Source organism: Homo sapiens, chromosome 12 (assembly GCF_000001405.40).
Source record: "Homo sapiens chromosome 12, GRCh38.p14 Primary Assembly".
NCBI lineage: Eukaryota > Metazoa > Chordata > Mammalia > Primates > Hominidae > Homo > Homo sapiens.
Window position 1 is genome coordinate 7,983,420 of NC_000012.12, and position 18,383 is coordinate 8,001,802.

The window sequence follows — 18,383 nt, forward strand, 5'->3', positions numbered from 1 at the left end:
GAGAGCAGTGATTAGTTGGAAGCAGAATTATTTCATTAAGTTTAAAACTTTTCTAACTTTTTCCCATAAAGTTAATAAAATCAGAGAAATACCATAGTCCTAAATATGGATATTACTGACATTTGGAGCCAGACAATTCTTTGTTACAGAGGCTTGTCCCATGCATTACAGAATGGTTAGCAGAATCCCTGGCCCCTCCCCACTAGAAGCTTGTAATCCCTTTCCTGTAATCATGACAACAAAAATATCTCCAGGTATTGCCAAATGTCCACTGGGAGCAAATCACCACTGTTTGAGAACCACTGCCTTAGACAGACACCACGCACCTTGATTTCAGCAAGACATCTCAGAAAATCTCCAATGAGATCCTGTGCAAAAGGCTGAAATACCTCACCTATCTGACACTCAACTGTTTGGGAAACTCATTTATTTTGAATATACGCAGGAGGAAACAAGGAAAGAAAACAGGATTTCTCGCTAGAATTCAAAGCATAACTCATAGGAAGGCTTTGGTTCCTCTCAGGAAGCACTTTCTCTCTCCTTTTTTTTTTGAGACGGAGTGTTTTTTGACAAGGAGCTCTTGTCTCCCAGGCTGGAGTACAATGGCACAATCTTGGCTTACTGCATCCGCTGCCTCTGGGGTTCAAGCGATTCTCCTGCCTCAGCCTCCCTAGAAGCTGGGATTACAGGTGGTTGCCACCACGCCCAGCTAATTTTTGTATTTTTAGTAGAGACAGGGTTTCACCATGTTGGCCAGTCTATTCTCCAACTCCTGATCTCAGGTGATCTCCCTGCCTCGGCCTCCCAAAGTGCTAGGATTACAGTCGTAAGCCACTGCGCCCCGCCTCTCCTTTTAAATTATTACAAAATCTCCCAAACATACAAAGCAAAATGTTAATATCTGATAGCTTAAATTGGTTATTTAATTTCCAAATCCAACAACGGATAAGAAGAAAGTAAGAAGAGACATTGTGGCCAGGCGTGGCGTGGTGGCTAACGCCCATAATTCCAGCACATTGGGAGGCCGAGGCAGGTGGATCACCTGAGGTCAGGAGTTCAAGACCAGCCTGGCCAACACGGTGAAACCCTGTCTCTACTAAAAATACAAAAATTAGCTGGGCATGGTGGCATATGCCTGTAATCCCAGAGACTTGGGAGGTTGAGACAGGAGAATCGCTTGAACCCAGGAGGCAGAGGTTGCAGTGAGCCAGGATTGTGCCATTGCACTCCAGCCTGGGCAACAAGAGCAAAACTCCATTAAAAAAAAAAAAAAAAGAGAAGAAGAGACATTGTATGCCACAGGTAGGAACTCTGACACAATCATGAAAATAAGAAAGAAAATAGCGCCGGGCAAGGTTGCTCATGCCTGTAATCCCAGCACTTCGGGAGGCCAAGGTCGGCGGAGCACTGGAGGTCAGAAGTTTGAGACCAGCCTGGCCAACATGGTGAAATCCTGTCTCTGTTAAAAATACAAAAATTAGCCGGGCAAGGTGGTGTGTCTCCAAAAAATAAAATAAAAAAAAAGAAAACACAAATTATAAAAGTCAACCATATTTCTGAAGGAATGGCAAATCCGAGGGATGATACTCCTACATTTTGTGTATTATTTGGGTCATGTTAGTCCTTGGCATCCTACCTGAAAAGGCATATGACCAGCCAGGATGATGACATGTCTGGAAACAGGTCCTGAAGGACAGCTGGAGAAACTAAGATTGTTTGTTTAGATTAGAAAATATAAGATGTAGCCTGGGTGCGGTGGCTCACGCCTGTAATCTCAGCACTTTGGGAGGCTGAGGCGGGCAGATCACCTGAGGTTGGGAGTTTGAGACCAGCCTGACCAGCATGGAGAAACCCATCTCTACTAAAAATACAAAATTAGCCGAGTGTGGTGGTGCATGCCTGTAATCCCAGCTACTCGGGAGGCTGAGGCAGGAGAATCACTTGAACCCGAGAGGCAGAGGTTGTGGTAAACCAAGATCGCACCACTGTACTCCAGCCTAGGCAAAAAGTGTGAAACTCCGTCTCTAAAAAAATAAATAAATAAAATAAAAGATGCTGGGAGAAAATGTGATAACTCTCTTCCAATATTCGATGTGCTTAGAAAAATATGTACTTTTCAGGAACCCCGAATGGAAATGGACATCAAATTTATATAACATTTATAGTCACCTTAGTGTAATGGCAAGAACTTTCTGATAACTAGAGCTATCGAAAATATAATGGGCTGCCTTGTAAGTTAGTTAAGTTTTTCACTGATGGCTTTCCCCCTGACTTCCAGAGTCATATATCACTTGATCTTGGCCAAAAGGCTGAGAAGTGATCAGAGTCATATATATATATAGCCTGTCTTATTTGTACCTGGGTGGTCAAAAAGCATCTCAAATTAATCATAGCCAAAGGAGAAGTCCTGTTTATTTTTCACACTCTCAAATCTTTTCCTTCTCTAGTCTTTTACATCTCAGTAAATGTTATCACTATTCACTCAATTCCAAAAGCTAGGAGTTATTTAGGATTTTTCTCTTTCCCACTCCTTCCATATCCAGTCCATCAACAAAAACTGTTATCTTGGCCAGGTGTGGTGGCTCATGCCTGTAATCCTAGCACTTTGGGAGGCCGACGCGGGTGTATCACCTGAGGTCAGGAATTTGAGACCAGCCTGGCCAACATGGTGAAAGCCCGTCTCTATTAAAAAAAAAAAAAATTAGCTGGGCGTTGGTGGTGGGCATCTGTAATCCCAGTTACTTGGGAGGCAAAGGAGGCTAAGGCAGGAGAATTGTTTGAACCCAGGAGGCAGAGGTTGCAGTGAGCTGAGATTGCGTCACTGCACTCCAGCTTGGTCAACAGAGCAAGACTTCGTCTCAAAAAAAAAAAAAAAATAGTGTAGAATAAATCAATGGTGTTGTCATACAATAAAATACTCTGTAGCCATTAAAAAGAATGAAATATCACAATATATATTGATTTGAAAACATCAAGCCAGGTGTGGTGGCTCATGCCTGTAATCCCAGCACTTTGGGAGGCCGAGGCAGGCAGATCACCTGAGGTCAGGAGTTCCAGACCAGCCTGACCAACATGGTGAAACCCTATCTCTACTAATAATACAAAATTAGCTGGGCGTGGTGGCGCGTGCCTGTAATCCCAGCTACTTGGGAAGCTGAGGAAGGAGAATCGCTTGAATCCAGCAGGCGGAGGTTGCAGTGAGTCGAGATGGAGCCATTGTACTCCAGCCTGGGCAACAAGAGCAAAACTCTGTCTCAAAAAACAAACAAACGAAAAAACAATGTCATGTTTTATTGTGGCTATTTTGAGAACGGGCTGTGCACAGTGGCTCACACCTGTAATCCCAGAACTTTGGGAGGCTGAGGCAGGAGGGTCACCTGAGGCCAGGAGTTCAAGAACAGCCTGGGCAACAAAGCAAAATCTCATCTTGGGCGTGGTGGAACCAGATCTACTAGGGAGGCTACTAGGGAGGATTGCTTGAGCTTTTGAGTTTGAGGTTGCAGTAAGCCATGATTGCACCACTGTACTCCACCCTAGGCAACAGAGAAAGATCCTATCTCAAATCAAAACAAAAGCAAAGGGCGGGTGTGGTGGCTCATGCCTGTAATTCCAGCACTTTGGGAGGCCGAGGCGGGTGGATCACAAGGTCAGGAGATCAAGACCATCCTGCCTAACACGGTGAAACCCCGTCTCTACTAAAAATACAAAAAATTAGCTGGGCGTGGTGGTGGGGGCCTGTGGTCCCAGCTACGCAGGAGGCTAAGGCAGGAGAATGGCGTGAACCCGGGAGGCGGAGCTTGCAGTGAGCCAAGATCGCACCACTGCACTCCAGCCTGGGCGGCAGAGCGAGACTCCCTCTCAAAAAAAAAAAAAAAAAAAAGCAAAACCAAAAAAACCTTTTGAGTATGTGTATATATTAGCACACATATTATGTACACACATTGTAAATGAATATAGACACATTCTACTTGAGTACATGTATAATTTTACAAAAATGGCATCATATAACACATGTATCATGTCAGCATTTTGATATTTTTCTCACCCAACAATATATCATGGAAATTACTTACATCAATACATTCAGATATGCTTCACAATGGTATGTAATGTGTCTGGGAACCCCATAATTTACTGTCCTTTTAGGTTGCTTTGCTATTACAAATATTGCTGCAATAAACATACTTGTCAATTTATCCTTGTGAATTCCTTTTTGTTTATTTATTTATTAATTAATTAAGAGATGGAGTCTCACTCTGTAACCCAGGATGGAGTACAGTGGTGCAATCTCGGCTCACTGCAACCTCCACCTCCCAGGTTCAAGTGATTCTCCTGCCTTAGCCTCCTGAGTAGCTGGGATTACACGTGTGCGTCACCATGCTTAGATAATGTTTATTTTTTAGTAGAGGCAGGGTCTCACTATGTTGCCCAGGCTAGTCTCAAACTTTCAGGCTCAAGTGATCCTCCTGTGTCAGCCTCCCAAAACACTGTAATTATAGGTGTGAGCCAGTGTGCCCAGCCTCCATTTCTTTGTGAATTTCTGAGGGTATTTTGTAGAAAAAACTTGTAGATATGGAATTGCTAGTTCAAAGTTACATGTATTTTAAATTTCAAAAAGAATTGCTAAATTGCCCTCTCTTGAATAACTAATTTTTATTCCTGCTATTATAATTATATAAAGAGTACCTTTTTGTTAGAGCCCCGCCAAAACTGATATCCATCTCTTTTTAATTGTGCAAGCTCATAGGTGAAACAGAATATCATTTCTGTGCTGATGGTTAGCAAAGTATATTCACACACATTCATGTTTTTACTGTAGTTGATAAGATTTGCGTGGTTTGCTTCCTCATACAAGATACCCACCATTACTTCAAAAAAGGCAGTGGCAAAAAGTATGTTTAGAATGATCTAATTTTTTTTTTTCTTTGAGACGGAGTCTCGCTTTGTCGCTGAGGCTGGAGTGCAGTCACGCGATCTCGGCTCACTGCAAGCTCCACCTCCCGGGTTCACACCATTCTCCTGCCTCAGCCTCCCGAGTGGCTGGGACTACAGGCGCCCGCCACCACGCCCAGCTAATTTTTTTAGTAGAGATGGGGTTTCGCCGTGTTAGCCAGGATGGTCTCGATCTCCTGACCTTGTGATTCACCACCCTCGGCCTCCCAAAGTGCTGGGATTACAGGCGTGAGCCACCACGCCCGGCCAATTCTTTTTTTTTTTTGAGACAGGGTCTTGCTGTTACCCAGGCTGGAGTGCAGTTGCACGATCTCAGCTCACTGCAGCCTCAACTTCTGGAGCTCAAGTGATTCCCCCATCTCAGCCTCCCCAGTAGCTAGGACTACAGATGCTCACCATCATGGCTGGTCTTGAAGTGTGTAATTTTTATAGAGACAGGGTTTCACTTTATTGCCCAGACTGGTCCCGAACTCTTGAGATCAAGTGATTCACCCGCCCCTGCCTTCCAAAGTGCTGGGATTATAGGCATGAGCCACTGTGCCTGGCCTCAATTCTTTTTTTTTTCCTGAGACAGAGTCTTGCTCTATCATGCAGGCTGGAGTGCAATGGCAGGATCTCAGCTCACTGCAACCTCCACCTCCCAGTTCCAGCAATTTTAGTGCCTCAGCCTCTCAAGTAGCTGGGACTACAGATGCACACCACCATGCCCGGCTAATTTTTGTATATTTTGTTGAGATGGGGTTTTGCCATGTTGGTCAGGCTGCTCTCAAACTCCTGACATCAGGGGATCTGCCCACCTTGGCCTCCCAAAGTGCTGAGATTACAGGTGTGAGCTACCACACCTCTTCCCTTAATTCTTATAAATAAATGAATTATACAGAAACACATACACCGGGTGCAGTGGCTCATGCCTGTAATCACAACACTTTGGGAGGCCGAGGCAGGTGGATCACCTGAGGTCAAGAGTTGGAGATTAGCCTAACATGGAGAAACCCTGACTCTACTAAAAATATAAAAAATTAGCTGGGCATCGTGGCGCATGCCTGTAATCCCAGCTACTCCGGAGGATGAGGCAGGAGAATCGCTTGAACCCAGGAGGCAGAGGTTGCGGTGAGCCAAGATCACTCCATTGCACTCCAGCCTGGGCAATAGGAGCGAAACTGTCTCAAAACAAACAAACAAATGAACAAAAGACAGAAACACATACACACATGCACATGTGCTGCACAGGAAAAAAAAATGGAGCATTATACCAAACTATTAATAGTGGTTAACTCTAATGAGTAGTATTATAGTAACCTTTCACTTATCTGATTTTTCTTTGAAATAATAAAAATTTAAAAATAAGCATGCTTTGTTTTATAGCAAAAAATAACACTCAGTGGAAAATACATTTAAACACAGACTGGATTATATCATTGTAGTGCTCAAAACTCTTCAATGGCTTTCTGCCAATAGAATAAAATTCATATTCATTATTGTAGCACTCAGGGCTTTACACAATTTATCTTAATTTCCATTTACTTACTCCTATCTAATCTGGTCACACCAGACTACCTCTGCATTCTTTTTCTTGTAATTTTCTCTGCTTGAAATATGTTATTTACCCTTTCTGTCTGTTGACACACCCTTCAAGGTCCAGCTTAAATGTTCCTCTGCTCTTGTTCTTTCCAACTCTGAGAAATAACCATGCTTTCCTGAGTGTTTACCGTTCATTAGAGAGGAAGCATAGGAAACTTATAAGACTCATAACTTCCTGTGGGGACACTGCATATGACTGTGCAGATTGCATCTGACTGCGTGCACATTGGGGTTTATGGAACTGGTGCCGCCCAGGGTCAGGCGGTGCACAACTTCTGGTCTTGAAGCGGGGACGTGGGGACAGACACATAACTCAGGCAAGAGGTAGTAGGGGTGTGAAAGTGTCTAGGCAGTCTTCCTCTTTAAGTAGTAGTCACTCTAACAAAGTAAGATGGAGAGAGATAAGATTAAGTAGTGTGATAGGTTGAGGGTACAGTGTGAGCATGGGCTTGAAGTATGGTGTGTTTGTGATTTCAGCATGACTGCAGTGGGGAGTGCCAAGGGGTGAGAAGAGGCCAGAAGGAGAGCAGGGATAATATCACAAATATCCAAGCATGCCAGGTACGACAGGTCAAGGAGTTTGGAATTTTTTTTTTTTTTTTAAGACAGAGTCTTGCTCTGTCTGGAATGCAGTGGCACAATCTCAGCTCACTGCAACCTCTGCCTCCCAGGTTCAAGCGATTCTCCTGCCTCAGCCTCCCAAGCAGCTGGGATTACAGGCGCCTGCCATCATGCCCAGCTAATTTTTGTATTTTTAGTAGAGACGGGGTTTCACCATATTGGCCAGGCTGGTCTCGAACTCCTGACCTCAGGTGATCCGACGCCTTGGCCTCCCAAAGTGTTGTGATTACAGGCCTGAGCCACCGCACCCAGCCTGGACTTTCTTCTGAGTACCCCAGAGAGCTGGTAGGTTACGTGCAGTAGTAACATGATTGAATTTGGATTTTAAAGAGATTACTGACTACACTGTAGAAACTAGTAAGGAGGCTGTTATACAAAGAGATGACGAGTACTGAAACTGAAGTACTGGCAGTGGCTCAGAATCTCAGGTACATCTAATGCAAAAGTACATCTAATGCAAACTTCAGCTTTCCAGTACACTTCCTTGAGAGGCACATCTCATGATTTCTTGTTTGATTTCATTTTTACTCAACACAGATGGGAAAAATAGGACATAGGCACAGTTATGATAAAAAAAAAAAAAAAGAAAGAGCTATGACAAAGCAAGAAAAGTAACACAGAATCTGACCTTGGAGTTTTCATTCAATAAACATTTAATGATCAATTACCATATATTGGGCCCTCCTGGCACTGTTCTCTGTATACTCATGGAGAGATACCACATTCTTATGTCTTAAAGCCATTGCTGCGTTTCTAGATACGTGCTATCTGCTTGTACGGAAGAGGCTTTCTGAAGTCTGGTTGCCCTCGTTGTAGGAGAACATCTTCTAACAAATATTTGAGCCAGTCTAAGTTTCTTTCTTCACAACAGAGGCAAGGGTACATATTCACTACAAGATCAAGTGCTGACAACTTGGCATTTGCTCCTTCTTCTTTAGCATTTTTGACCTTGAATCCTACTGGTCTTGGAATAACTATGAATAACTTTATGTCCATCCCCTGCAAGAAGCCTGTCTCGCCTTTCCCTCTCTCTGCCATGTTGGAATGAACTATTGTTACCCAGACCTTTCACAGTTTTCACCAAGGGGATTTCCCCATGTCTGGGGCATGTTTATATTCATTTCTAATTGATCCATATCACTCTCCCTCTCCTGTTTGGCTTCTATTGCAGCCACTTTGGAGCCACAGATAAGATTTAAAGCCTAAGAAAAACAGAAGAGGTGTCTGGGAGGGAGCATAGGCAAGACAAGGGGAAAACTGAAGCAAGTTGACAACCCCCAGGCAGTAGGTACAGGAATCCCTGTCTACAAAGTCCTCTATTGCCTAGAGACACCAGTTCATACTTAAGTTTCAGAGTTAGTTTCTGGGAACACTAAGAACTATGATCTGCAAGGTTTTTCTAGTTCTATATCTAGTTCTAAAATTTTACAATTCCCATTGTAAGATATCACCAACATATCTATTCACAAGGTTCATTTGTAAAGAGACCTAAGCAACTCTTTTTTTCGTAAACAATTCTTAATTAAAATTAGGATTGAGGATTTGAGACTCGTAGATACATTTGGGAATAGTAGAAGTTAAACTTCTGGGATTTATCCTATAGTTCCTTCAGGAGATTCCTATAAAAGCTATCGGGGCTGGGTGCGGTGGCTCACGCCTGTAATCTCAGCACTTTGGGAGGCCGAGGTGGGCAGATCACGAGGTCAAGAGATTGAGACCATCCTGGCCAACATGGTGAAACCCTGTCTCTACTAAAATAAAATACAAAAATTAGCTGGGTGTGGTGGCACGTGCCTGCAGTCCCAGCTACTCGGGAGGCCGAGGCAGGAGAATGCCTTGAATCTGGGAGGCGGAGGTTGCAGTGAGTCAAGATCACACCACTGAACTTCAGCGTGGGCAACAGAGTGAAACTCCGTCTCAAAAAAACAAAAACAAAAACAAAAACAAAAACAAAAACAAAAAAAACCTATCTAAAACATTGGTTCCTTTTGGTTTCTCTGACAATCTGAACATCATTAGCAAGACAAAATAATATTAGCTAGAAAATTAAAGTTGTGCGATATGTTTTGAAGGAAAGTAATTTCTTAAGATGATGGATAAAAGAAATAGGTAGGGTTGCCAGATTTAGCACAAACAAACAAACAGGATATCCAGTTAAATTTGAATTTCAGATCAAAGATGAATACTTTTTAAAGCATAAATATGTCCCATATAATGTTTGAGACATAGCTATACTAAAAAGCAAACAAACAAAACACTATTTTATCCAACAATCTTAAACAGGTTGCTAAAGTTCTGTTCCACCCAATAGGCTGTTAGGAGGATTAAATTAGATAAAGTGCGGCCGGGCGAGGTGGCTCACCCCTGTAATCCCAGCACTTTGGGAGACTGAGGCGGGCGGATCACGAGGTCAGGAGATCGAGATTATCCTGGCTAACACGGTGAAACCCCATCTCTACTAAAAACACAAAAATTAGCCGGGCATTGTGGTGGGCGCCTGTAGTCCCACCACAGGTGGTGGGCTGAGGCAGAATGGTGTGAACCCGGGAGGCGAAGCTTGCAGTGAGCCGAGATCGCGCCACTGCACTCCAGCCTGGGCGACAGAGTGAGACTCCGTGTTAAAAAAAAAAAAAAAAAGAAAAACTATCTCTAATGCATCTTAAACTTTTACCAGGGTGCAAGAAGAACAATTTAAGAGTGCACGGCTGCTGAGGAAGAGCACTGTGACAGCATCGATGGAAATTATTAAATGGAGCAGAACCTTATACTCTGGAACTTTGCTTAGGGTTTGCTTACCAACTGATGCTGCTAAAATTTTAGCAGTCATTAAGAGTCACTTCAAAGGCTTCTTAATACAGATTTTCTGATCCCATTCTGCTGAGATTCTGACTCAGCAAATCTGGCGTGGAGCTGAGAATTTGCATGTCTAACAGCCTCCCTGAAGATGCTGATGTCAGTCATCCATAGATAACCACCACACTTGAAGTAGTACTGGATTTATTTGTTTTGGAATGGTGCGGTGGCCCACGCCTGTAATCCCAGCACTTTGGGAGGCCGAGGCAGGCTGATCATCTGAGGTCAGGAGTTTGAGACCAGCCTGGCCAACATGTCGAGACCCCATCTATACTAAAAATACAAAAAGTAGCCTGGCGTGGTGGCAGCTACTTGGGAGGCTGAGGCAGGAGAATCCCTTGAACCCAGAAGGCGGAAGGTGCGGTGAACTGAGATTGCGCCACTGCACTCCAGCCTGGGCAACAAGAGTGAAACTCTGTCTCAAAAAAAAAAAATTAAGAAGATAATTGTTATAGGGACATATATTAATATTTTTATTTGAGATAAAAAAAGAAGTCAGGCTTCCAAAGCCAAAAGATTTGGCTCACAGGTTTGCCTACAAACAGTAGCTTTGTCATTTAGTTTATATTTCTATAAACTGAATGATCTTTGTCTGTATGCCAAGGTTTTTGTTTGTTTGTTTTTTAACTTAAAATCTACAAAGCTTTTGTGTATGGTTTGTACAGCTTTGGGGACAAGTGAAGGGCTGAAACTTCGTTGTGCAGTTTTGTGGGATATGTAGAGGCTGAAATACAGCCTGCAATCCACTGGCCAGGCTCTCCTCCTCATCCAGAGGAAGGAGCACATTTTTCTTTACACAGGGGTACCATTCCTAGAAAACCTGCTTTTTCCCAGAAGGGCACCTTTGCCTAATTTGCAGAAAGGCACTGGAAAAGCTAGCAATGGCCCTGAAAGCATGTATACCAAATACCGGACAGCAGAAATTAATCCCTGGAAGCTACTTAAACACAAAAAAAATTTTCTTAGATGTCACTTAAAAACATGTGGAAGGAATCGCTTGAACTCGGAAGGCAGAGGTTGCAGTGAGCTGCGATCGCGCCAGTGCACTCCAGCTTGGGCGACAGAGCGAGATTTCGTCCCACCACCCCAAAAAAAACAAACAGTGTAGAGGAAATACATAGTTTTTTTTTTTTTTTAATTATTACCTGAGTAAACAAACCAAAAGAAGAAGAAGAAGGCCATTGCTCCAAACTCTCTTTCAATGTTGCTCTAGTGCCTATTCCTCACCTTGCACTGCCAATCTGCACATCTCCCCTCTCTGGTTCTTCTTTTTGGCTGCTGCTTTCTTTAAACAACTAATATTTATGAAAATAGTTGACAAGTAAGTGCAGTGGTGAGCAGTCTCAATTCCTGACTCAATACTGATGGAAGCAATCTGTTTAACAACCTCAGAAAGACTGTGTGAGTCATTTGTGGATTCTCATCTGGAAATGATCCTAAATCCTAGAATCTTCACCACAAGGCTGTTTTTCTTGCAGTGATTCTTGGAGTCTTGACATTCAAACTGGTTCTTCAAGCTGGGATTCTTTCCCTTCGGGTCTCTGATCCAATCAGCGCACACCTTCTCCAAGGATTTCCCGCTGTGGCTGGTTGGGGTAATCCTCATTCAGTGAATTGTCACCTCTGGTTCCAAGAGTGTATTTCCGGAGTTTTGTAAAGTCTAGGGCGGCGTGCCTATTCCAACTAGTTCCTCAAGGAATGGCCAAGAGGACATGGCTGTCCCTCCTAGAGCCCTCTGCTACTTTTCAGGCCTCATTATACTCTCGCAATTTCCTTTCCTTTTATCTTCTCCCTGATCTTCTCCCTAAATGTTCCCAAATTTATCCTCTTCTCTGAGGGCTTTGCTTCTTCAGGCCTAACTAAATACACAATCCACAAGCCACTGATCTCACCTCAGCTGCACCTATGCTAATTCTCACTTCCAGTTTTTCTCCAAGGCCAGTACTGGGAGGGATGGCGCAAAGATATACACTGCCACCTGGTGGCCAACTGCTAACCAGCTCTGGTAATACCAAGGATGTTACTAGCACCATAGCAACGGGCTCTGGAGGCGGATTTGCAAAAGCACCAGGCGTGGGCAGAACAGTGTCACTTCCTTCTTTGGTAGTAGCATCTCTCTGCCTGGAATTATCTTTCCAAATCTATTTCTCACAAAATTCTTTTCATCTTTCAAAGTCCATATAAATGCCACTTTTACCATGATCCCCTTCCTGATCCTTCAAGTTAGCGGATCTCACTTCTCTGAAAGTACTACAGGGTAGGTTCAGCATTTCGCTTGTAACTCTTACGATGCTGCTCTTTGCCTACTTCAAACTGTTGCTCATCCCCTAAAAACTCAGCTCCTTTTCAGTGCATGCCATCAGGATATTGTAATAATCTGCTGATCTCCTGGGTCACTTCCCCCACATTCTCTGAAAATTTAGAAGCCTGATTCATTCTCTTAGTTTACACCATTCCTACTGTCATCAGTCCTGGCTATTCCATGATGCATGGAGACAATTCATCGAATAGGCTGGCCGTCAGTTTCTTGTCCACTCATTTCCAATCATCTTGTTTTCCAGTCCACCTCAGTCATTTATTCCCATGGTTAATACCCTAGCCCTGGTTATTTATAATAAATGGGCTCGGCTGGGTGCGGTGGCTCACACCTGTAATCCCAGCACTTTGGGAGGCTGAGGTGGGTGGATCACGAGGTCAGGAGTTCAAGACCAGCCTGGCCGGGATGGTGAAACCCCATCTCCACTAAAAATACAAAAATTAGCCGGGTGTGGTGGCAGGTGCCTGTAATCCCAGCTACTCAGGAGGCTGAGGCATAGAATTGCTTGAACCTGGGAGGTGGAGGTTGCAGTGAGCTGAGATCACACCAGTGCACTCCAGCCTGGGCAACAGAGCAAGAGTTCGTCTCAAAAAAAAAAAAAAAAAAAAAGGCTGCTTGTAAAACCTGTATTATTTTGCATCTCACACTGACCATCACTTCCTCTCTAACCATTTCTTGATAGAAGCAGGATCTCTACACTATTAACCCTCTCAACTTTTCACTGCCCATCACTCTTCTATTTTTACTTTCCACATCACCCGACTTAAATTCTTTGATTCATCACCCTAAACGCTTCCTTGCATAAATGAGCAACTCCTGGGCACTCCCTTCCCCCGTCACATTCTCTGGTAAGAACGCAACTTTTGGCCAGGTGCGGTGGCTCACACATGAAGTCCCAGCACTTTGGGAGGCCAAGGCAGGCAGATCGCTTGAGGCCAGGAGATCAAGACTATCCTCGTCAACATGGTAAAACCTCGCCTCTACTAAAAAAAGAAAAAAAAAATGGCATGAAAATTGCTTGAACACAGGAGGCGGAGGTTGCAGTGTGTCGAGATCACGCCACTGGACTCCAGCCTGGGCGACAGAGCGAGACTCTATCTCAAGGTGTGCTACATTTGAAAAGAACTGTTTGAGTTCTCTAATTTATATAAACAGCCATCTGGAGAAGAGGTATGGGAACGGATATTAAGGGTATAGGATAATGGTGGAAGCAACATAGAGTTGGATCAGGCTGAATTTATTGATTTGGGCCCACTAAGTAGGGACTCTGCTTTTAATGTTGCAGCTCGGAAAGTTACAAAACCTTCTAATGTTTATTTGCTTGGTTAGCTGAAATATGGATTACAAGATGGCCCACTGTGAGCGAGCTGGAAATGCCTGATCTCCCTTGGTTTAATGTAGAGGCAGGGATCCAAAGGCTTAGGGAGATTGGGATGGTGGAGTGGGTTAGTCACTTTAGACCTACTCATCCCGGCTGGGAAGGTCCAGAAGATATACCCTCGACCAATGCCGTGTGAAATAGATTTGTGAGGGCAGTACCTGCATCTTTGAGGAGCCCTGTAATTGCTCTTCTCTGTATGTCAGAATTTTTTTTTTTTTTTTTTTTTTTTTTTTTTGGAGACAGTCTCACTCTGTCGCTCAGGCTAAGAGTACAGTGGTGCAATCTCGGCTCACTACAACCACAGCCTCCCAGGTTCAAGTGATTCTCCTGCTTCAGTCTCCTGAGTAGCTGGGATTACAGCCACCCCCCACCCCCCAGCACTATGCCCAGCTAATTTTTTTTTTTTTTTTTGTATTTTTAGTAGAGACAGGGTTTCACCATGTTGGCCAGGCTGGTCTCGAACTCCTGACCCCATGATTCACCCGCCTCAGCCTCCCAAAGTGCTGGGATTACAGGCATGAGCCCCCACGCCCGGCCTGTATGTCAGATCTAACAGTGGGAACCGCAGTCACTCAACTACACAAATTAAATACAATGGGAATAATTGGATGCCAAGGTGGCAGGAGCCAAGTGGTGGCACTCAACCATCAAAGACAAGGTAGGTGTAGCTACCATAATGAACAGCAGAGGCAAAGTGGCAATCAGAATAGTCTGACTCTTGTAGAGCTCTGGCATTGGCTAATCACAGTGTTCCTATAAGTGAAATTGATAGGAAGCCTACTGCATTGTTACTTAATTTATACAAGCAGAAAACTTCTAGATTTAGTGGACAAAAAATGAATTTGAATTATAAAATCAGAGAATCACCGCCACTCAATTGATTTCCAGACCTGAGCCAGTTTACAGACCCAGAACCCCTTGAACAAAGGGGAGACCGGGTCTCCTTGAGGAAGGACCCCATTACATTACTGATCATTTATGTAATGAATCTTTCTCCCATCCTTCCCCAAGGAGACCTCTGTCCTTTTTTTTTTTTTTTTTTTTCTGAGATGGAGTCTCACTCTGTCACCCAGGCTGGAGTGCAGTGGTGTGATCTCGGCTCACTGCAACCTCCGCCTCCTGAGTTCAAGCGATTCTCCTGCCTCAGCCTCCTGAGTAGCTGGGATTACAGGCATGTGCCACCACGCCCGGCTAATTTTTGTATTTTTAGTAGAGATGGGGTTTCACCATGTTGGTCAGGCTGGTCTTGAACTCTTGACCTTGTGATCCATCTGCCTCGGCCTCCCAAAGTGTTGAGATTACAGGTGTGAGCCACCGTGTCTGGCCAACCTCCATCCTTTTACCAGGGTAATTGTGCATTGGGGAAAGGGAAATGATCAGACATTTTGAAGACTACTGGACACTGGCTCTGAGCTGATGTTGATTCCAGGGGACCCAAAACATCATTGTGGTCCTCCAATTAAAGGAGGGGCTTATGGAGATAAGGTAATTAATGGAGTTTTAGCTCAGGTCTGACTTACAGTGAGTCCAGTGGGTCCCCGGACTCATCCTGTGGTCATTTCCTCAGTGCCAGAATGCATAATTGGCATAGACATACTTAGCAGCTGGCAGAACCCCCACAGTGGCTCCCTGACTGGTAGGGTGAGGGCTATTATGGTGGGAAAGGCCAAATGGAAGCCAACAGAGCTGCCTCTACCTAGAAAAATGTAAATCAAAAACAATATCTCATCCCTGGAGGGACTGTGGAGATTGGTGCTATCATCAAGGACTCGAAAGACACAGAGGTGGTGATTCTCAGCACATCCCCATTCAACTCTCCCATTTGGCCTCTGCAGAAGACAGGTGGATCTTGGAGAATGACAGTAGATTATCGTACGCTTAGCCAAGTGGTGACTCCAATTGCAGCTGCTGTACCAGATGTGGTTTCATTGCTTGAGCAAATTAACACATCTCCTGGTACCTGGTATGCAACCATTGACTTGGCAAATGCCTTTTCCTCCATTCCTGTCCATAAGGCCCACCAGAAGCAATTAGCCTTCAGCTGTCAAGGCCATTAATATACTTTTACTGTCTTACCTCAGGGGTATATCAACTCTCTGGCTTTGTGTCATAATCTTATTTGGGGAGATCTTTTTTTTTTTTTTTTTTTTTTTTTTTTTTTTTTTTGAGACGGAGTCTCCCTGTGTTGCCCAGGCTGGAGTGCAATGGCGCGATCTCGGCTCACTGCAACCTCCGCCTCCCGGGTTCACGCCATTCTCCTGCCTCAGCCTCCCGAGTAGCTGGGACTACAGGCGTCTGCCACCTCGCCCGGCTAATTTTTTGTATATTTAGTAGAGACGGGGTTTCACCGTGTTAGCCAGAATGGTCTCGATCTCCTGACCTCGTGATCCGCCCACCTCGGCCTCCCAAAGTGCTGGGATTACAGGCGTGAGCCACCGCGCCCGACCTCATTTGGGGAGATCTTGATCACTTTTTGCTTCCACCAGCTATCACACTGTTCCATTACACTGATGACATTATGCCGATTGAATCCAGTGAACAAAAAGTAGCAAACACTCTGGACTTATTGGTGAGACATTTGTGTGCCAGAGGATGGGAAATAAATCCGACTAAAATTCAGGGAACTTCTACCTCAGTAAAATTTCCAGGGGTCCAGTGGTGTGGGGCCTATTGAGATATTCCTTTTTTTTAGAGATGGAGTCTTGCTCTGTCGCCCAGGCTGGAGTGCAATGACACGATCTCGGCTCACTGCAACCTCCGCCTCCCAGGTTCCAGCGATCCTCCTGCCCCAGCCTCCCAAGTAGCTGGGATTACAGGCTACAGGCTACACCATGCCCAGCTAAATTTTTTTTTTTTTTTTTTTTTGAGACGGAGTTTCACTCTTGTTGCCCAGGCTGGAGTGCAATGGTACAATCTCGGCTCACTGCAACCTCTGCCTCCTTGGGTTCAAGCGATTCTCCTGCCTCTGCTTCCTGAGTAGTTGGGATTACAGGAATGTGCCACCATGCTCAGTTAATTTTGCATTTTTAGTAGAGATGGGATTTCTCCACGTCGGTCAGGCTGGTCTCAAACTTCCAACCTCAGGTGTTCCACCCGCCTCAGCCTCCCAAAGTGCTCTGATTACAGGCATGAGCTACAGTGCCTGGCCCCTTATGCCTGGCTGATTTTTGTATTTTTTAGAAGAGACAGGGTTTTGCCATAGTTGGCCAGGCTGGTCTCGAACTCCTGACCTCGTGATCCGCCCGCCTCGGCCTCCCAAAGTGCTGGGATTACAGGGGTGAGCCATGGTGCCTAGCCTAATTTTTGTGTATTAGTAGAGACAGGGTTTCACCATGTTGGCCAGGCTGGTCTCGAACTCCTGACATCAAGTGATCCGCCTGCCTCGGCCTCCAAAAGTGCTGGGATTACAGGCATGAGTCACTGCACCTGGCTGAGATACCCCTTCTAAGGTAAAGGATAAGTTGCTGTATTTCGCCACTCCTATGACCAAGAAAGAGGCACAATGCCTACTGGGCCTATTTGGATTTTGGAGGCAACACATTCCTCATTTGGGTGTGTTAGTTTGGTCCATTTATTGAGTGACCCGAAAGGCTGCCAGTTTTGAGTGGGGTCCAGAACAGAAGGCTCTGCAACAGGTCCAGGCTGCTTCTGCCACTTGGGCCATATGACCCAGCAGATCCAATGATGCTTCAGGTATCAGTGGCAGAGAGGGATGCTCTCTGGAGCCTTTGGCAGACTCCCATAGGTGAATCACAGCAGAGACCTTTAGGATTTTAAAGCAAGGCCCTGCCATCTTCTGCAGATAACTACTCTCCTTTTGAGAGACAGCTCCTGGTCTGTTACTGAGCTTTGGCGGAAACTGAACGTTTGACTATGGGTCATCAAGTCACCATGGGACCTGAACTGCCTGTCATGAACTGGTTGCTTTCTGACTCATCTAGCCATAAAGTGGGTCATGCACAGTAGCATTCCATCATCAAATGGAAGTGGTATATATGTGATCGGGCTTCAGCAGGTCCTGAAGGCACAAGTAAGTTACATGAGGAAGTGGCTCAAATGCCCATGGTCTCCACTCCTGCCACCCTGCCTTCTCTCCCTGAGCCTGCACCGATGGCCTCATGGGGAGTTCCCTATGATCAGTCGACAAAGGAAGAGAAGACTAGGGTCTGGCTTACAGATGATTCTACACGATATGCAGGCACCACCCGAAAGTGGACAGCAGCAGCACTACAGCCCCTTTCTAGGACATCCTTGAAATACAGTGGACATCTTCCCAGTGAGCAGAACTTCGAGCAGTGCACCTGGCTCTGTATTTTGCATGGAAGGAGAAATGGCCAGATATGCGATTATATACTGACTCATGGGCTGTAGCCAATGGTATGGCTGGATAGTCAGGGACTTGGAAGAAGCATGATTGGAAAATTGGTGACAAAGAAATTTGAGGAAGACATGCAGATGGACCTCTCTGAGTGGTCAAAAACTGTGAAGATATTTGTATACCATGTGAGTGCTCACCAATGTGTTACTTCAGTGGATAGCATGACTCAGTGGATAGAATGACTCGTTCTGTGGACGCCACTCAGCCTCTTTCCCCAGCCACCTCTGTCATCACCCAATGGGCCCATGAACAAAGTGGCCATGGTGGCAGGGATGGAGATTACGCATGGGCTCAGCAAC

The 18,383-nt window shown here is 44.9% G+C and overlaps 1 pseudogene, besides 2 other annotated features; it reads right to left on the minus strand.

Moving 5' to 3' along the window:
• Positions 9,317–10,206: an enhancer, noted in NCBI's record as "H3K4me1 hESC enhancer chr12:8145332-8146221 (GRCh37/hg19 assembly coordinates)". NCBI's record gives its function as "activates a minimal SCP1, AML or CMV promoter by ChIP-STARR-seq in naive H9 embryonic stem cells {active_cell/tissue: H9 hESC(naive)}" and the evidence as "EXISTENCE:reporter gene assay evidence [ECO:0000049][PMID:30033119]".
• Positions 11,320–12,241: an enhancer, noted in NCBI's record as "H3K27ac-H3K4me1 hESC enhancer chr12:8147335-8148256 (GRCh37/hg19 assembly coordinates)". NCBI's record gives its function as "activates a minimal SCP1, AML or CMV promoter by ChIP-STARR-seq in primed H9 embryonic stem cells {active_cell/tissue: H9 hESC(primed)}" and the evidence as "EXISTENCE:reporter gene assay evidence [ECO:0000049][PMID:30033119]".
• On the minus strand, positions 11,351–11,659 carry RPS20P28 (ribosomal protein S20 pseudogene 28; annotated as a pseudogene).